At 38.0% G+C, this 15,830-nt stretch overlaps 1 protein-coding gene across 20 annotated transcripts in view, besides 1 other annotated feature; it reads left to right on the top strand.

Moving 5' to 3' along the window:
- LINGO2 (leucine rich repeat and Ig domain containing 2) overlaps nucleotides 1-15,830 on the top strand; it is a 1,275,985-nt gene that overhangs the window by 1,218,701 nt on the left and 41,454 nt on the right. The window contains exon 1 of one of the 20 annotated variants that reach the window (XM_017014307.2): nucleotides 10,537-11,666. The exons of the other annotated variants lie outside the window; for them this stretch is intronic. The gene's annotated coding sequence lies outside the window, so the exon portion shown is untranslated. Of the gene's footprint in view, nucleotides 1-10,536; nucleotides 11,667-15,830 lie in introns of those variants that run through there. 20 annotated transcript variants of the gene reach the window in all.
- Nucleotides 4,086-4,265: a silencer, noted in NCBI's record as "silent region_19823". NCBI's record gives its function as "represses an Ori minimal core promoter by ATAC-STARR-seq in GM12878 lymphoblastoid cells {active_cell/tissue: GM12878}" and the evidence as "EXISTENCE:reporter gene assay evidence [ECO:0000049][PMID:35858748]".

The following is a 15,830-nucleotide window of genomic DNA, read 5'->3' as shown; positions in this document are numbered from 1 at the left end:
TCTGAAAAGATAAGACAAAGCAAGCTGCAAGCTGCTTAAGGGAATGGGCCAGCAGCACCCTGAGAGTTCTGCATTGGGATTTTGTGATGTCAGCCCTGCCTTAAGTCCCCTACTTCTTTCCCCACCACCTCCCTGCCTAGTCCCTGTCTCAGGCTTTTGTAGGACCATCAGTTACTATTAATTGGTGCACATGCGTGGGCCAATGTTGAATATGAATGGTTCCTGTGTTATCTCTTAGGAATTTCTTCATTGCCCTTTGCCCCTCCTTAGGCATGCATCGAACTACGTTCTGACAGGTTAAATGCAGAGTGAATGATTACAGGGCTTCTTAATGGGTGTTCCTTTCTGCCTAGGAACTTCCCCTCCTCATATCCAGCATGCTGGTTCCAGTGGTCCCTGGGGCGTGGGATTTCCCAGACCTCCCTTTTCTCAGGGGCTCCCCTCTCCTGCTCATGTCTACCTATCTGCCTACTCTAACAATTTTACTTATTTGGTTCTTTTCTCATTTTTCTTAGTCTAGTCAAATGTTTGTCAATTTGTTTAACTTTTTTTAAAAACGAAATTTTCCTTTTTTTTAGTTTCAATTTGATTTATTTCTGCTTTGATCTTTATTTCTTTCATTCTACTAATTTCGGGTTTGGTTTGTTCTCACTTTTCTAGTTCTTTGAGGTCCATTTTTGGGATGTTTATCTGAAGTCTTTTTACTTTTTTGATGTGGTCATTTATTGCTATAAATTTCCGTTTAGTACTACTTTTGCTGTATCCTATAGGTTTTAGTATGTTGTTTCCATTTTAATGTGTCTCAAGAAATTTTTAAGTTTCCTTCTTAATTTCTTTATTGACTCATTGGTCATTCAGGAGTATGTTGATTAATTTCCATATTTTTTGTACAGTTTCCAAAGTTCCTCGTTATTTTTAGTTTTATTCCACGGTGGTCAGAGAAGACACGTAATAAGATTTTGATTTTTTTTTTTAATTTGTTGAAACTTGGTTTTCAGCCTAACATATGGTCTATATTGCAAAATGTTCCAGGTGCTCACAAAAAGAATGCATATTCAGCAGCAGTTGGATAAAATGTTCTGTGTCGGTTTGATTCAATTGCTTTTATGTTTGCAGCCATTTACTAGGTACTAGGGGTAAATGTTAAAATGTAAGATTACCTTTCTTTCAGCAATTATAATTAAAGTAGTGAAGACTAGCACACAAATATTTAGACACTAATAAATTACCAATTATTAACCTATATTTAAAGAGGCAGGCATTCTAAAAAGAGGAAAATATATCCATTTAAGATTTGTTTTCGACAGGAAAGATTTCATAAGAAAGTTGTGGCTAGATATGAACTTTTTTGTGTATGTGACAGGGTCTCACTATGTTACCCAGGCTGGAAGGCTGGAGTGCAGTGGTATGATCATGAATCACTGTAGCCTCAACCTCCTGGGCTCAAGCAATCCTCCACCTCAGCCTCCCAATATGTTGGGATTACAGGCATGAGACACCATGCCCAGCCTGGGCTTTTATTGATAGATAGGATTTCAACACGTAGGAGAATTCATATGGATATTGTTCATGAGAAACCAACAATAATACTGAAATTATCCACAATCCAAGTTCAAAATATTACCTCAACAAAGAAAGAAAAGCTATTTCTTAACTTTGGATGCATGTGAAAAGGCAAAGAAAAAGAGGGGGGAAAATTACCAATTTAATATGACATAAAAGAACTCTAAATTCAACTGCAATTTGAATGCTAGCCTTACCAAACTCCAGAAAATTAGATAAATGTTAGCATCATCTGTGAAATTAGCATATTAGTCAATATTTTGCATTAACCATCGTCAAGTGATTAATGATTTTTATCCAGACAATGATTGATTTCTACAGTTGATTTCCCATCTAATGACAATATATTCTAGTTAATATAAGGAAAAAATAGCTCCCATAGTTCTCACAAGTTGCCTTTTCAGTGGTATTGGGATTGGTCTGCACATCAGTTTCATGTGTCTATGTATAGAAAGTCTGTCAGTATCCTTTTGTGTCTCCTATTAGTTTGGTAAGATCCATTTTATAAGTGACGCTTCACACAAGGCACCATTTACTTTTAGTTAATGTTCCCTCACCAAACTTTCATTTATTACAAAAATAAAGAGAAGGAAAAAAGAGAAAACCAACCAGAAATCCACCACCTTAACATAACTTCACTTTCCCTCATTGCTTCCTAATGTTTGTCTATATGCATGTATAATGTGTTTATAGTATTGATATAATTTTATTTTTTCACTTTATATTATTAAATTAGTTTTGCATTGATCACTCCCTCCTCTGTTCTCCCGCAGCATCCTAGTCTCGCCTTCATTATAACATTTACTGCATTACATAACTATTTTAATTTTTTTTGGCTTTTCCTTACCTATGATAATATTTCCATATAGAGATAGTTTTCTTTGCCTCTGCTCTAACAACTTGCATAAAATATGGCACATAGACTCAATAAATAATTGTTGAATAATTTTATGTAAGTGCATACATTACATTGAACCAACACATCATGATTTATGTAGTCATTGTATCTATGGCTACGTTTTACATGGTTTTCAATTATTTTGCATGTATCCACTGCCCTTCTTGGGATTAGTATCCAAATATTAGAAAACAAAAGGATTTAAGCACACATATATAAAGTCAAAATGTTTATATATGTCAGTGACAGGTTAGGGCAAAGGACTGGAGGGGTATTTTCAGTGAAAATTCATCAACCTGATGGTGAGTTATTTGGGGGCCACAGCCTGCAGTGTTGTCATTAACACCTTTGTCATTAACACCTGACAGAAGCAGAAAAGTTGGAGAAATGCGTCCGAATACCCAGAGTAGTAATTTCCCATAGTCAGGGTTTGGGTTTAGGTACAGATAGAAGTGAAAATGAGTGTACGATATTGGTGACAACTAGAGTCTTGTGGAAATTGAGAGACAGGTGAAAGCAAATTGGGATCAAATGCACATTTTTTAAAAAATGGAAGGCAGCTCAGCTGAAAAGTGACAGGTACTGAAACATATAATATTTTAATATGACTGCCTATTTCTCACAAAACAATGCAAACACCTACCAGGACTTCCTCTGACATAAAATAATGCATATTTCTCACTTTTGTCTTCTAAAATGTTCTATCCATAGGAGTCTTATGAGATGGGAGAAACAGCTAGTGGCAATGGCTGCCAAATGTAAAGTTATACGGTCCCTATGTTTGCATGATCAATGTTTTACTTGTGTTCCTATGTGTTTGAAGTTGCCCTTGACATGGTCAGCTCCTCTTTCTGTCTATATCCTTTTTGGGGGCAACCACCTCCAGTGTTCTAAAAATAAGGATGCCTTGACGCCTAGCATCTGCCGGGTCTTGAGAGAGCTATGCTAATTGTGGCTGCCCCTAAAGAGCCCTGGCGAACCTCTGAACTGTCTTTGTTTTGATTTATCATCTGAACACAGATTGCCAGGGCTTATGGAATAACCTTGAAAGGTCACCTATCCACTTGCTTGCACTGAGGTAAAAAGACCAAAGCCACAAGCAAATCATCCGGGAGAGAAAAATTACTCTCTAAGCTCTTCAGAGAAGGCTGTAGACACCCTCAATAACTCACCTCAGTATGGAAAAAAATCCTTTGTTGTTGTTGTTGTTGCCGTTCATTGTATTCAACCAGAGTCCTTATGTAGTAGTGTGAGTACCTGAATCTAAGTGCTTTGAGAAAGAAAAACAGAGCTTAGAATAATCATTAAGGTTTGTGTAATTTTTCCTTGATTTTCAATGCTGGCATTTTCAGAGTACCCTTCCCTTTTTTTGTTGGCTTTTCGGTATAGTATAAGGTCTGTGCTGGCCCTGTCCTGCCCAGCTGTATTTGGTAAGACTTAGGCTGAGAGAGGCTGCCTTCCCCGTGGAAAGTGGCTGTTTACACCAGAGATTCTGAACTCCCTGGTTTCTTCAGGAGAGCAAGTTCAGCTCTTTGCTTTTAGGCACGCTGGAGAAAATGGATGCCAGGTAGCAAATTAGTGTGGGATCCCTGTTTTCATGACACCTTTAATGACTTCTTTTTACAGGGAGCAAAGCCCTTGATGCCTGCTAGGCAGAGATGATGTAGTATATCAGAGTGGTTAACCACATAGACTTTGTGTCAGGCAGACCTGGGTTTTCATTCTGACTCTTCCACTTACATTGGTCAATGCACTCAACCACTGAATGCGATAACCTCCTCTACTGTGAAATAAGGGTATTTTTTCTCCCCACAGGAGTGTTAAAAAGACTCATTTTGATATAATACATAGTTTTTCTTTTTTTAATGCCTTTGTTCCAAATTTTTAAAATTGACTACTTCATATATTATATTCCATTGGCTGGAAGCTTCGATGGGTAAAGTTCACTACTGAAGTTAAAAATAAAAGGGGGGGGGGTATTGAGACCACTGAAGTGATGCTTTTTGCAGATACTGAAGCTCAGCAACATTTCTAAAATATATCCAATGTGCTGAGGAACATAAGCCATTGTGTCTATCCTCTATCTGTTTAAATAAGAGTGATGATAATATATACAGAAATCATGAACAGATATTTAATCAGTCAGAAACTAGTGGCAAAGCTACATTAGATGTGATACCTGCCTTCAGGGAATGCTCATTCTATTATGTTGAATCTTGTTGAAATGCTGTTTTTGTAGGTCAAAAATGGTAGAATATTGGCAATTTCATAAGACTCAGCCTAACAGTTGGACAATGTATGTGTAAAAAGATCAGTTAAAATGAAGTAAGCAGTGCTATTTGCTGAAGGAGAGTGATTTTAATACTAACAATTCATTCAAAGGAATGATTGCTTAGTATGCACTATAGCAATAGGGAATGATCTGTGCAGACTTGTGGCTTGATTGAGGTTCCTAGAGCTGGAACCACTTCTCATTCCTCCTCTCTTCTCTTCTCTTTTTCCTTCTTTTGAGCTTAGTCCAACTATTGTTAAGAACATAGAACAACAGTTTTAGGGGAAGAGCAAAAGGCTTGAAATCATAAAACCTGAGTTTAAATCCCAGTTCTACAACTTTCTTGCATGAACTTCATCATTAAGCTTTCCAGATTTCTGTTTCTTCATTTGGTCAAAATGAGAAAAATAACCAGTCTTGTTGGGGTGAGAACTAAATGGGTCAATGCGTTAAAGTGTGTAGCACGGTGTTTAACTCATAGTTATCTGTGTTCTTTTGTTCTGGACATAGGTCTTTGGTTCCAGCTGTGCATAATCATAATGCAGTTTCTATATATATGGTGATGATGCTGGCTTTCTGGATTGGCCTAATGTCTGCCTGAGCATTTCATCCCCTAGTGCCTGCCAGAACTTTCCACTCATGATATAGTTCTTTCTATAGTTCGATATTTTCTGTATTCCTGCACACATACACACACACACACACACACACACACACACACAGAGAGCATTCACTCTGTTATTCATTAAATAAGTACTTCTTGATCACAAACTATATGCTTTGAAGATGAAGCAATAGGTAGGATAAAATCCCCATCTGAATGTATCTTATATTTTGTTGGGAAACTAGGCAATCAAAAATGAACAAATCAGCATACAGTAAAATTCCAGGTAGTGACAGAGGCTTTGAATAATAATAAATCAGAAGACTAGCAGAGGATGATGAGCAGACCCTTGATGGGAATGCTGAACTTAGTGAAAGAACAAGCCATGCAAAGACCTGGGTTAGAGCTTTCCAGGGAGAAAGAAGGATTGCAAATTTCCCAAGGTGGAGAAGATTTGGACAAGTTTCAAAACTATCAACAAAGCTGGGCGAACTGACTGCTCTGATGGCTTTATGGGAAATAGAAGGCTCAGGTTGGTGAGCAGTGGTAGAGGAAGAAGACTGAGAGGCTATTGCAGTCATTCAAGCAAGAGATAATTATGATGTGAACTAGGGTGGTAGCAGTGGAAGTGATAAGAATAGTTTCATCTTTTTTTCTTTTTTAAGATGAAGTGATCAATCAAGTTGCTGATTAATTGGATGAGGGTGGTATGAGAAAGACAGGAATCAATGATAGCTGCTGACCTGCTCTGAGCAACTGGATGAACAGTGGTGCCAGTTACAGAGATAGGAAGAGTAGAGAAAGAACAGTCTGTGGGCGAGGTCAGATGAACAGTGATGCCAGTTATAAAGATAGGGAGAACAGAAACAAACAACCCCATCAAAAAGTGGGCAAAGGATATGAACAGACACTACTCAAAAGAAGACATTTATGCAGCCGACAGACATGAAAAAATGCTCATCACTGGCCATCAGACAAATACAAATCAAAACCACAGTGAGATACCATCTCACACCAGTTAGAATGACGATCATTAAAAAGTCAGGAAACAACAGGTGCTGGAGAGGATGTGGAGAAATAGGAACACTTTTACACTGTTGGTGGGACTGTAAGCTAGTTCAACCATTGTGGAAGACAGTGTGGTGATTCCTCAGGGATCTAGAACTAGAAATACCATTGGACCCAGCCATCCCATTACTGGGTGTATACCCAAAGGATTATAAATCATGCTGCTATAAAGACACATGCACACATATGTTTATTGTGGCACTATTCACAATAGCAAAGACTTGGAACCAACCCAAATGTCCATCAACGATAGACTGGATTGAGAAAATGTGGCACATATACACCATGGAATACTATGCAGCCATAAAAAATGAGTTCATGTCCTTTGTAGGGACATGGATGAAGCAGGAAACCATCATTCTCAGCAAACTATCACAAGGACAAAAAAACAAACACCACATGTTCTCGATCATAGGTGGGAATTAAACTATGAGAACACTTGGACACAGGAAGGGGAACATCACACACCAGGGCCTGTTGTGGGGTGGAGGGATGGAGGAGGGATAGCATTAGGAGATACACCTAATATAAATGACGAGTTAATGGATGCAGCACGCCAACATGGCACATTATGCATATGTAACAAACCTGCACATTGTGCACATGTACCCTAGAACTTAACGTATAAAAGGGAGAACAGGTTTGTGGGAAGGTCAATTTGGTTTGGGATTTTGTGTGTGTGTATATATATATTTAAAGAGTCATAAATGAATCTGGGTACTTGATTTATTTAAGTGGAATTTTAGGGCTCCACATGAGTTAATTGGATCCTTCCAAGGCCACAGTCTGAGAAACACAATAGCATTCACTTACAAGGCCAAGGAGTTACCTACATAGACAACCCCACTTCTCCCACAGTCAAAAATAGTTGACCATAGTGAGATGGAGTGAATGCTTTACTTTGGCATACGAAGCTAACGTCTTCAAACCAAATATCTTGTTTATTTAATCTAACAGTGATCTAGAGCTATTGTCTTAGCTGTTTGGGGGGTACAGTACTTACAAAGCTAGAATTGAAAGTCTAATCTATACTTAAAGCAACTAGCTTTTAAAGTCAGCCAGGCACAGTGACACATACCTATATTCTCAGCTACTCAAAAGGCTGAGCCTGGAGGGATCGTTTGAGCCCAGCCTAGGTAACATAGTGAGAACCTGTCTCAGGAAAGGAGGGAAGGGAGGAAAGAAGCAAGGAAGAGAGGAAGGAAAGACGGGAGGGAGGGAAATATCCTGACTACAGACATATTTAGCCACATTGCAAATGTTGACAAGGAAGACTCAAAACTAATAGCTACTTATTAAGAATATTTGCTATGGGAGAAATTTTATTCATTTTAGAAGACATCTACTTTCATCCTCATAAGTACCCCTTGAAGGTTGGTTTTTTAGCTTCATTTATTGAGTAGTTGACTGACATGTAGAAAAGTTAACAATTTTGCTGAAACTCACACACACACAAAAAAAAGTCGACCATAAGTGAGATGGAGTGAAAAAGTGGGAATTACTATTCCCCACCTTATCTCCATAGGAAATAGCCCAAGGAGCAGGTCTTGCTGACTGAGTTGAGGAACTGATGTGCAGGGAGCCAGCCCTCTTTTATGCTCTTCCTCTTCTTGGATAGTAGAACATCCCCAAAAAGATACCATGTACTTTCTCCTTTCTGTATAACCCACCCTTCTCCAGCTCGTTTGGCCAGTCTTAAGCATTATGTCACAAATGACCGTTACCATGTTGATTTTGGAATGTATACCTCTACATCTTTAGGAAACTAGTTTTACAGCCTTTAAGGAGAAAGTGCTCAAGGAGGGACGAGCACTTTCCCTGATACTCCAGCCATGATCTGTTTGCACCTACCTTCCCTCAAAGTCAGACCTGCAGTCCCTTTCTTTCCTGTGCATTCTCGTGCAAGAGCAGTGAGAGGCTGTCAGTTTTTCCTAACATAGACCCTTAGGAAATATTGTTGAATGAATAAATAGTACTAGGAAGTCCCACTCCTAAAGGCCCTACTCCTAAATGGTGCCCAAACTCTGCGTATATAACCGGAGAGTACTAAATTCACTACTGTAATGGCTGTGGACAGCTTACCTCCCGTTGCCCCACTTCCTGCTTCCACGGGTCACAGGTGCTAATTTCAAAAGTACTCAGTCCCTTTGCCCCTGTTATTTCTTAGTTTTGTTTTTCCTTTTCTTTTTTGTTTTTGTTTAAAGATGTCCTGAAGATTAACTGCTCTGTGTGTGTGTGTGTGTTGAGTTGGGGAATGTGGTCACTGGAAAATGTAACATGGGATAATGGACCATCTTCTGTCTCTTTTCTGTCTTCTCTGGCTGTTTTTTTTTTCTCCTGTTCCCCCTCCAGAAGCCAGCTCCACCCCAAGGTTTGTAAGTAAGAATTCAGCCTAAACCAATTTCCTCAGGGCCTAGTCATCTACCACCCAGAAGAAATACTTTCCCCAACAAGGCAGTTTACTTTCTAAAAGGAATTTCTGAGAATAACATTGCCTCTCCTTTGTTATAAATGTGATTGTGAGAGTTTTCCAGTGAGAAGTGTCTTGGGTTGGAGAGGAAATTGAAAATCCTCAGTTCCAGTCCATCAGAATGACAAAATAACAAGTTCCGTTTGATTTTACCATCAACCTCTCACCATTGCAATTTTCACCTCACTGGAGTCTGTCTGCACTTGATATCTTCATTCACCTTTCTTCTGCTCTGTTTGCTGGGATATTCAGGATGGCCTGGGAAGTGTTGGGGGGAATTTCAAGGGGATTTTGCTTGTTTAGGCTACCTTTTTCTCTCAGCCAGTAGAATCATAGTAATCATCATCATCATAGAAGTAATAATAATAAACCCTAATTGAAAACCATAAACATTTACCACCTACTGTATGCCTTATCTTGTACTACACTTTTTCTTGTGTTTTGCTAATTAATGTCAAAAAATCCCCCAAAAATTATCCTCAAATCACACAGATGAGAAAACAAAGATTCAGAAACTTGGTATTATTAATTTACTCAAAGATGCACAGTTAAACTGTTCAAGCTAGCCTTCAAGCCAAGGGCTCCTGAGTCCAAATGCAATGTCTTAACTGAATATGAAAACAAGAGGAGAAAATCGGGGATATCCTAACCTTTTATGTTGGATGTATACTGTAAATTTTATGTTTGATGCCTTGTTGTGGAGCTGTTTAATTTGAAATACTATTTTGATTGACTAAAATTATTACACTTTCACATCACAGCAGATTCAGAACCAAAAATAAGTGGAAGAAAAATACATGTTGTATATATATGATGCTCATGGTTGATGTGTTATGACACTCATGTTGTGAAGAGTGAGAAACTACTGGTAGACACACCTTCTTTCCTCATTCAGAAAAGAAGAATGTCATAACAATTCTGTTGTCTCATTTCCATGTATTTATATCACACCTAAACTGTTAAACTAAAATAATTCAGAGTCCAAAGAGAAACGTGTCTAATTATTTTTGTCAAAACAGAAGTGCTTACTTCAGTTCAACCTCTTCCCCTAAAACTCTATTGTTTACAGCATTTACTTTATAATTAAATACGCTATTTCCTTTTCCTGCCTAAAATATACTGTGATAATTACAATGTTGTGACCTTGGGCAAGTCATTTAAACTCAAAATTTTCCTCATTTATAAAATGGAGATAATACTAATGCCACCACATAGGGTGTTATAAAGATTTTTTTAGAAACAGATGATGAATATAAACTCATTATCACATGATCTCAGTAAAAGCCAATCTCCTTACCTTACTCTGCTTCTAGAATATAAAATTCTAAAGATCAAGAGCCAGCTATGACCCCTACTCCAGAGCTAGGAACACAAAATGAATTAAATATTATGCTGATTTTCTCAGTGATCTATAGTAGAAAGAATTCCATCTCCTTAGCCCATAAAAGAGCAATGCTCTTTCTATATTCCCTCAGACCACAATCCAGAGCCCAGAGCTCAGGCTTATGAATGACAGGAGGTGTGTTTTCCCTTCTAACTCAGAGCTTTGAAGGAAGTTTTGACATAGGTATTTACTTAACAAGACAGTGTTCAGAAGACCCAATTCCATTTGCTGATACCATTTCATCACTAGATTTCAACCAGTTGAGCTACACAGCTCACTGCTCACCTATTAAAACCTGGTTGAGTCTCACATATGAGATGCATTGGGAAGGTCCACATGCAGTCTTCCACTGCTAAGAAGATGAAGCCAATGGTTGTTGTAAGGCTCATAAACCTGTTACCCTCATAGATCAATTTCAGAGCAATTGTGCTTAAATGACTACAACCCAGGCAACCAAGAATAACTTCAAAACTACTCAAGCTAGCATTCCTCAATATTATGAAAGGGACCACAAATCTCTGGTAATCTTAAAATCTTGTTTTTCTGTTTGTTCTTCCCAGTCCACTGCCCCACACAGTATAAGCTGCCTTTCTCAACCCATGAAAACTCCACAGCCCTTGTTTTCTCTTTCTTCTTTTCGTCCTCTACTCTGCCCCTTTTCTGTCATTCTTCCACTGCACAGCCCTGGAACTGTGCAAGACCACGCCCATCTTGGAGGACAAGAAAAGGAAGACTCTGATGTAGACCTTGCCAGAAATTTCTGGTAGGAAAGCAGAGAAAAAACTCTGGGATAACTCAAAAATTAATAACTAATATCTTGGCATGTGACAGTCAAACTTAAGTATGTGAAACAAACCACGGTGGGAATTGCAAAAGGAATGATGAAATCTGGTCAGGGAAAGTACCAAATTGGAAGTTTGAAGTTTTATTCTCACCTTTTTCTGTGCCACCAGTTAGATGCATGAACTTTGAATGGTGATTTTACCTCTCTGATTCTTTATTTGCTTTCTTTTATTAATATGGAAATCAAGGCTTTTCATAGTAAGATACAATGACTGATGTAAGGTCACACAGTTAGTGGGATGCAGGATGACTCTAGGAAAGCATCATGTCTTTATATGCTTTTGCATCTCTGGTACCTACCAACAGGGTCCTGGTACATGGTAGGAATTCAATGACTTTTGGATGGATGATGACTTGTATCTGGGTTTTCTGAATCCAGGGTCAATGCCCTGTGTCCTACTTGGTGTCTCACTTCCTCACTGTGCCTCTTTTCCGTTAAGGTCCCACCTACTTCAAATGATTGAGAACTTCCAGTCTGTGTATTTATGATACGGAACACCAGTGTACACCAGTCTCATTGTCTTGATGGCAGTAACATCTCTACTATTAACTAATGCTTTTTATGTAAGCATATAAATTCATAGAGCTTCTAAGATGCATGCATTTCACATAACTTGATGTGGTAAAATTTGTAACCATTGCTCTGAAATTATTTCATTTTCTCTGAGACATAAAATGTATGTATACAATTATTAATAGTTAGATTAGGACGTATGAAAATGTTTCAAGGGTATTAGGAAATTATTTTTCCATATTATATGTTTTTATGTGTTCAGTTCATTGTGGGGAGAGGCAAGGTGACCGAGAAGTATAAGTAGGAAAGACAGAGTACGTATTGTGTGCTGCATGTACAATGGATTGATAACATGTATGTAGCACTTTACAGTTCGTAAGTGTATGTAAAGCACTTTACATACATTTTTCTCATTAACTCCCCTCAACCATTGTGTAGGGTTGATATTATTAACCACAGTTTACTAATAGGAAGCTGAGGCTAAGTAAGCATCATTGAAGTGACTTGTCATCCAAGATCACAAAGCTATAGCTAAGATTCATATCCAGGTTCTCTGCTCTCAGCACAAATCTTAAACCAGCATAGGGTAGTTCAGAGAAGAACCTCTTTAATCAGATTACTCAGTTTTAACATCACAGTTTTGCCACTTATTAGCTGTGTGAGCTAAATAAGGTAAGTTACTTAACCTTTATATGCCTCAGTTTCCCATTCACAAAAAGGGATGAGGATGTAACCTACCATATATGGTTATTAAGGGAATTGAGTTAATGCATGTGAAGTTCTTAGAACCTGATATGTAGGAAACACTTAATAAATATTAGTTGCTGTGTGTTTATCTGTATGCACATGCATGCATGTGTATGTGTTTATATGTATGTCTATATGTGTTGACACTGAACTGTTTCTCCCATTTTTGGAAATCTCACAGATTTACTTCTGAAGTATACTTCATTTCCTTTATACAAAAGAGCCCATTCCTAGTGTCCGGCTGATTTATAAATTATGTGTGGTGTATTTATGAGGCAATTGAGAGCATGCATCTGACCATCCATTTGGGGAAAGGGTCCCAATGTGTAGAAGAGGAACAGAGACAAACCTCTGACCTCTAATGTACTCTTCACTAAAATGCTCAGATAAAATCCCTATACTTCAGGAGCTGATTGCCATAGTAACCCTGCAGCCCACTAAATATAAGGCAGGCTGTAATTTAAAATTTCATGAGGGAAGGAAAAGTCAGTTTTCACAGAGACTCTGTAGATTAAACACAAGACAAGAGCGTGGTGTCTGCCCCATATATGAAGTATAGAATCAGACGGTGTGGCTTTTGAATTCTTTCCTGGTCAATTTTATTGATTAAACCTCAAACTAACCTGGTACATGTTGCTTGGATGTCTAAAATCAGCCTTTGAACAAAGTGAGAACACTGTATCCAAATAGTCAGGGAGTAGAAAACTTCAAACTACTATTGTATTTGCATTATAGCTTCTAAAAACCAAGGGACCAATCTCAGAAGGCTTTAGGGTCACATGTGCTAAACTCTGTCACTTTACTTGGAGGTGCCATGTTTTTCTTTCTGGACCTTCACTAATCTAGATGGACAATGAAGATCTGCTCTCTCAATAAGAGGGGAACAACAGCAGTCCTTAGGTCCTCCTGGGTGGGTTATAAGAGTTCCTGAACTGCTGGTATAGGAAATTTTTTTTCTTTTTTTTTTCTTTTTTTTTCTTTTTTTTCTTTTTTTTTTTTTTTTGCCATCCTCGTCATTTATCCTTTCATATCATCTCCATTCAAACAAAACCATACTTCAAAATAACCCTCATTCTGCCACTGGGAACAGTGTGAGGTTTGTAGAAATAATACGAACTTTAGTGTCAAAGAAAACTAGATCTATTTGAGCTCATGTTTCGCTTTTTATTATCTGTGTGATAAGGGGAAAGTTACCTAGCTGTTTTCTGCCTCGATTTTCTTATCTGTAAATGGAGATAATATTATCTTACAAGGTTGTTAAGAGGACTAGGTGAGATAAAACATGGGAAAGTGTTTGGCACATAATGGATGTGTAAATGTTAATTCAGAGAGAGAGAAACAGAGGCAGGAGTATTAACTGGCTTTTGGAAACAGTGGAACTTCTGGAAAAATACAGATGGATGTCTGACTTGTTAATAAAATTTTAATTTGACTGAGATCAATGAAAAGCCCCATGTGTTGAGTACAAATACATACTCATCAGCAATCCCAAGGAAAATCCATCAGGGTTATTTCCTTTCATTAAAGAGCAATATCAATATTGATCAACTCTCCTAACTGACCTGTGGTTTGCTTTCATACATTAAATTTCTGTTCTGCACATAGGGCACAAATCTTCAAATTGCCTTTAGTTCCTAATTCATTATGTCACATAAGAAACTAAACATAAACAGAGTCCTCACCAAGGAAAAAGTATCACTTAAGAAGCACTTCCCCTATTGCCTTATCCCCTCAAGCTGCCTGAGCTTCACTGATGACCTGTGCAAGGGCTAAGGGAATATCCTCACCCATCCCAGATAGGCCAACCTCTCACTTATGAAATCAAACCATGTGCATGACAAGGTCAAGAAGCAGTCCCCTCACTGAGGACCAGAAATGAACAGCATACCAACAAATGAAAAGAGAATATTAGGCTTGATGACCCAAGAAGGGCTGGAAAAATGCCAGGGCAAACATCTGCTTAATAAAGATGGTTTAAAGACATGCTAATCATCTTGTTAGCAGCGGTCAAAACATTGAAGATATTCCCTTTAAAGGCAATAGCAATATATTCTGCCTCCTGAACTTGGAAGCACTAAGTAAATAAATAAATGTGTAATACTTGATGGCCAGAAGCTTGGACAGTTTTCCTCCAATTGCTGTGCCTTACCATGTTTTTCTGGAAAGTTTTTCTGGAAAATCAGGGCCTCAGATTCAACCTGTAAAATGCATTATTAGTTTAAAATTTTCTTAGTAGTTTATTGCCAGGGAATTGAATGAATAAATGGCATAGAAAGGCACTTAGCATCCTGCACGTTTGAGTGCCTTATAGCTAAAGCTGTGTCTTTCTTGAACTGTGTTTAAGACTGGCTTCATTACTATACATTATTTTGCTTCTTCTGGCTAAGCAGGATCCTTCCTTTGCACCTTTCTTTCTCAGTATCAAGGCAAAATTCTTGCCTCGAAGTGAGGTATTAACTAAAGTACTCTGAACAGCTGGTGTTGGAAATAGTTACTATGCACCTTAAGTCCTGTCCCCTTCACATGTCAATACAGGATGGGACCGGAATCCAACCTCCATAATAGGTGAGAGATGGTGACTACCCACATGAGATATGATTCTTCCTCCTCCTCAGTTTTATGGACAGAAAATGAAACTGATTTTTCTCAGTTATCATTTACATTAAGGGTTTAGTTTGCTTAATTCAGAGCAAGAACTAATTATTTCCTGTGAAAGCCTTTTTCCTTTAATATGCAATAATAGTGGTTTTCCATTTCTAGTAATAAGAAGTCTTTCCTTTTATCATTGGCATTGATATCAAAGGATCCCAGTGGAATGCTCTTCCAAATTACAGTGACATTGCAGGGGTGAACTATAGGGGAAGTAAATATAGGATTCTACTTTATGTAAAGATTACATACTTTTCCATACCTCTATTTTCCTTTTTCATTCACGTAGATTACTAGCAGGAGGAGAATATTAAACAGTATAAAATATAATTTGCAAGATAATGTAAAAACTATTTTATTAAAATGTGTATATATATTTATGCACACAATTATTTAATTCCAGAGGCTACCCAGTTTGGTTCCTTTAGGTCATATATGAAAAATAAGAACTGACTGCCCCTGGATCACCAAGTGAAGCAGTGACCCAGGAGTATACCAACCCTAGGCCTTTCCTTTTAACTGAATTTTCTTCCCATACATGTTAAGCTTATAGAAAACCAAACAAAATAAAAGATAGAGATTAGTAACTGAGGACCAGTAAGATGGAAGTAAGGATGGCAAATCCTGGTACAAGAGCTGCCACTACCCCTGCATTGCTGATTGACCTGATCCTCCTTCCTTGTGAGCCCACACACTCAGCCTTAGATGTCATCTCAATTCAGTGGCTTCAGGTGGCCATTCCCACTGATGACTGTTCACAGCTCACAATGTAAAGCATACTTTCTATTTCTGGTTTAGCAATTAAGTATATGGGGTTT

This window comes from Homo sapiens, chromosome 9, assembly GCF_000001405.40.
Source record: "Homo sapiens chromosome 9, GRCh38.p14 Primary Assembly".
NCBI classification, from domain to species: Eukaryota; Metazoa; Chordata; class Mammalia; order Primates; family Hominidae; genus Homo; species Homo sapiens.
This window is presented reverse-complemented; position numbering and strand designations above follow the sequence as displayed.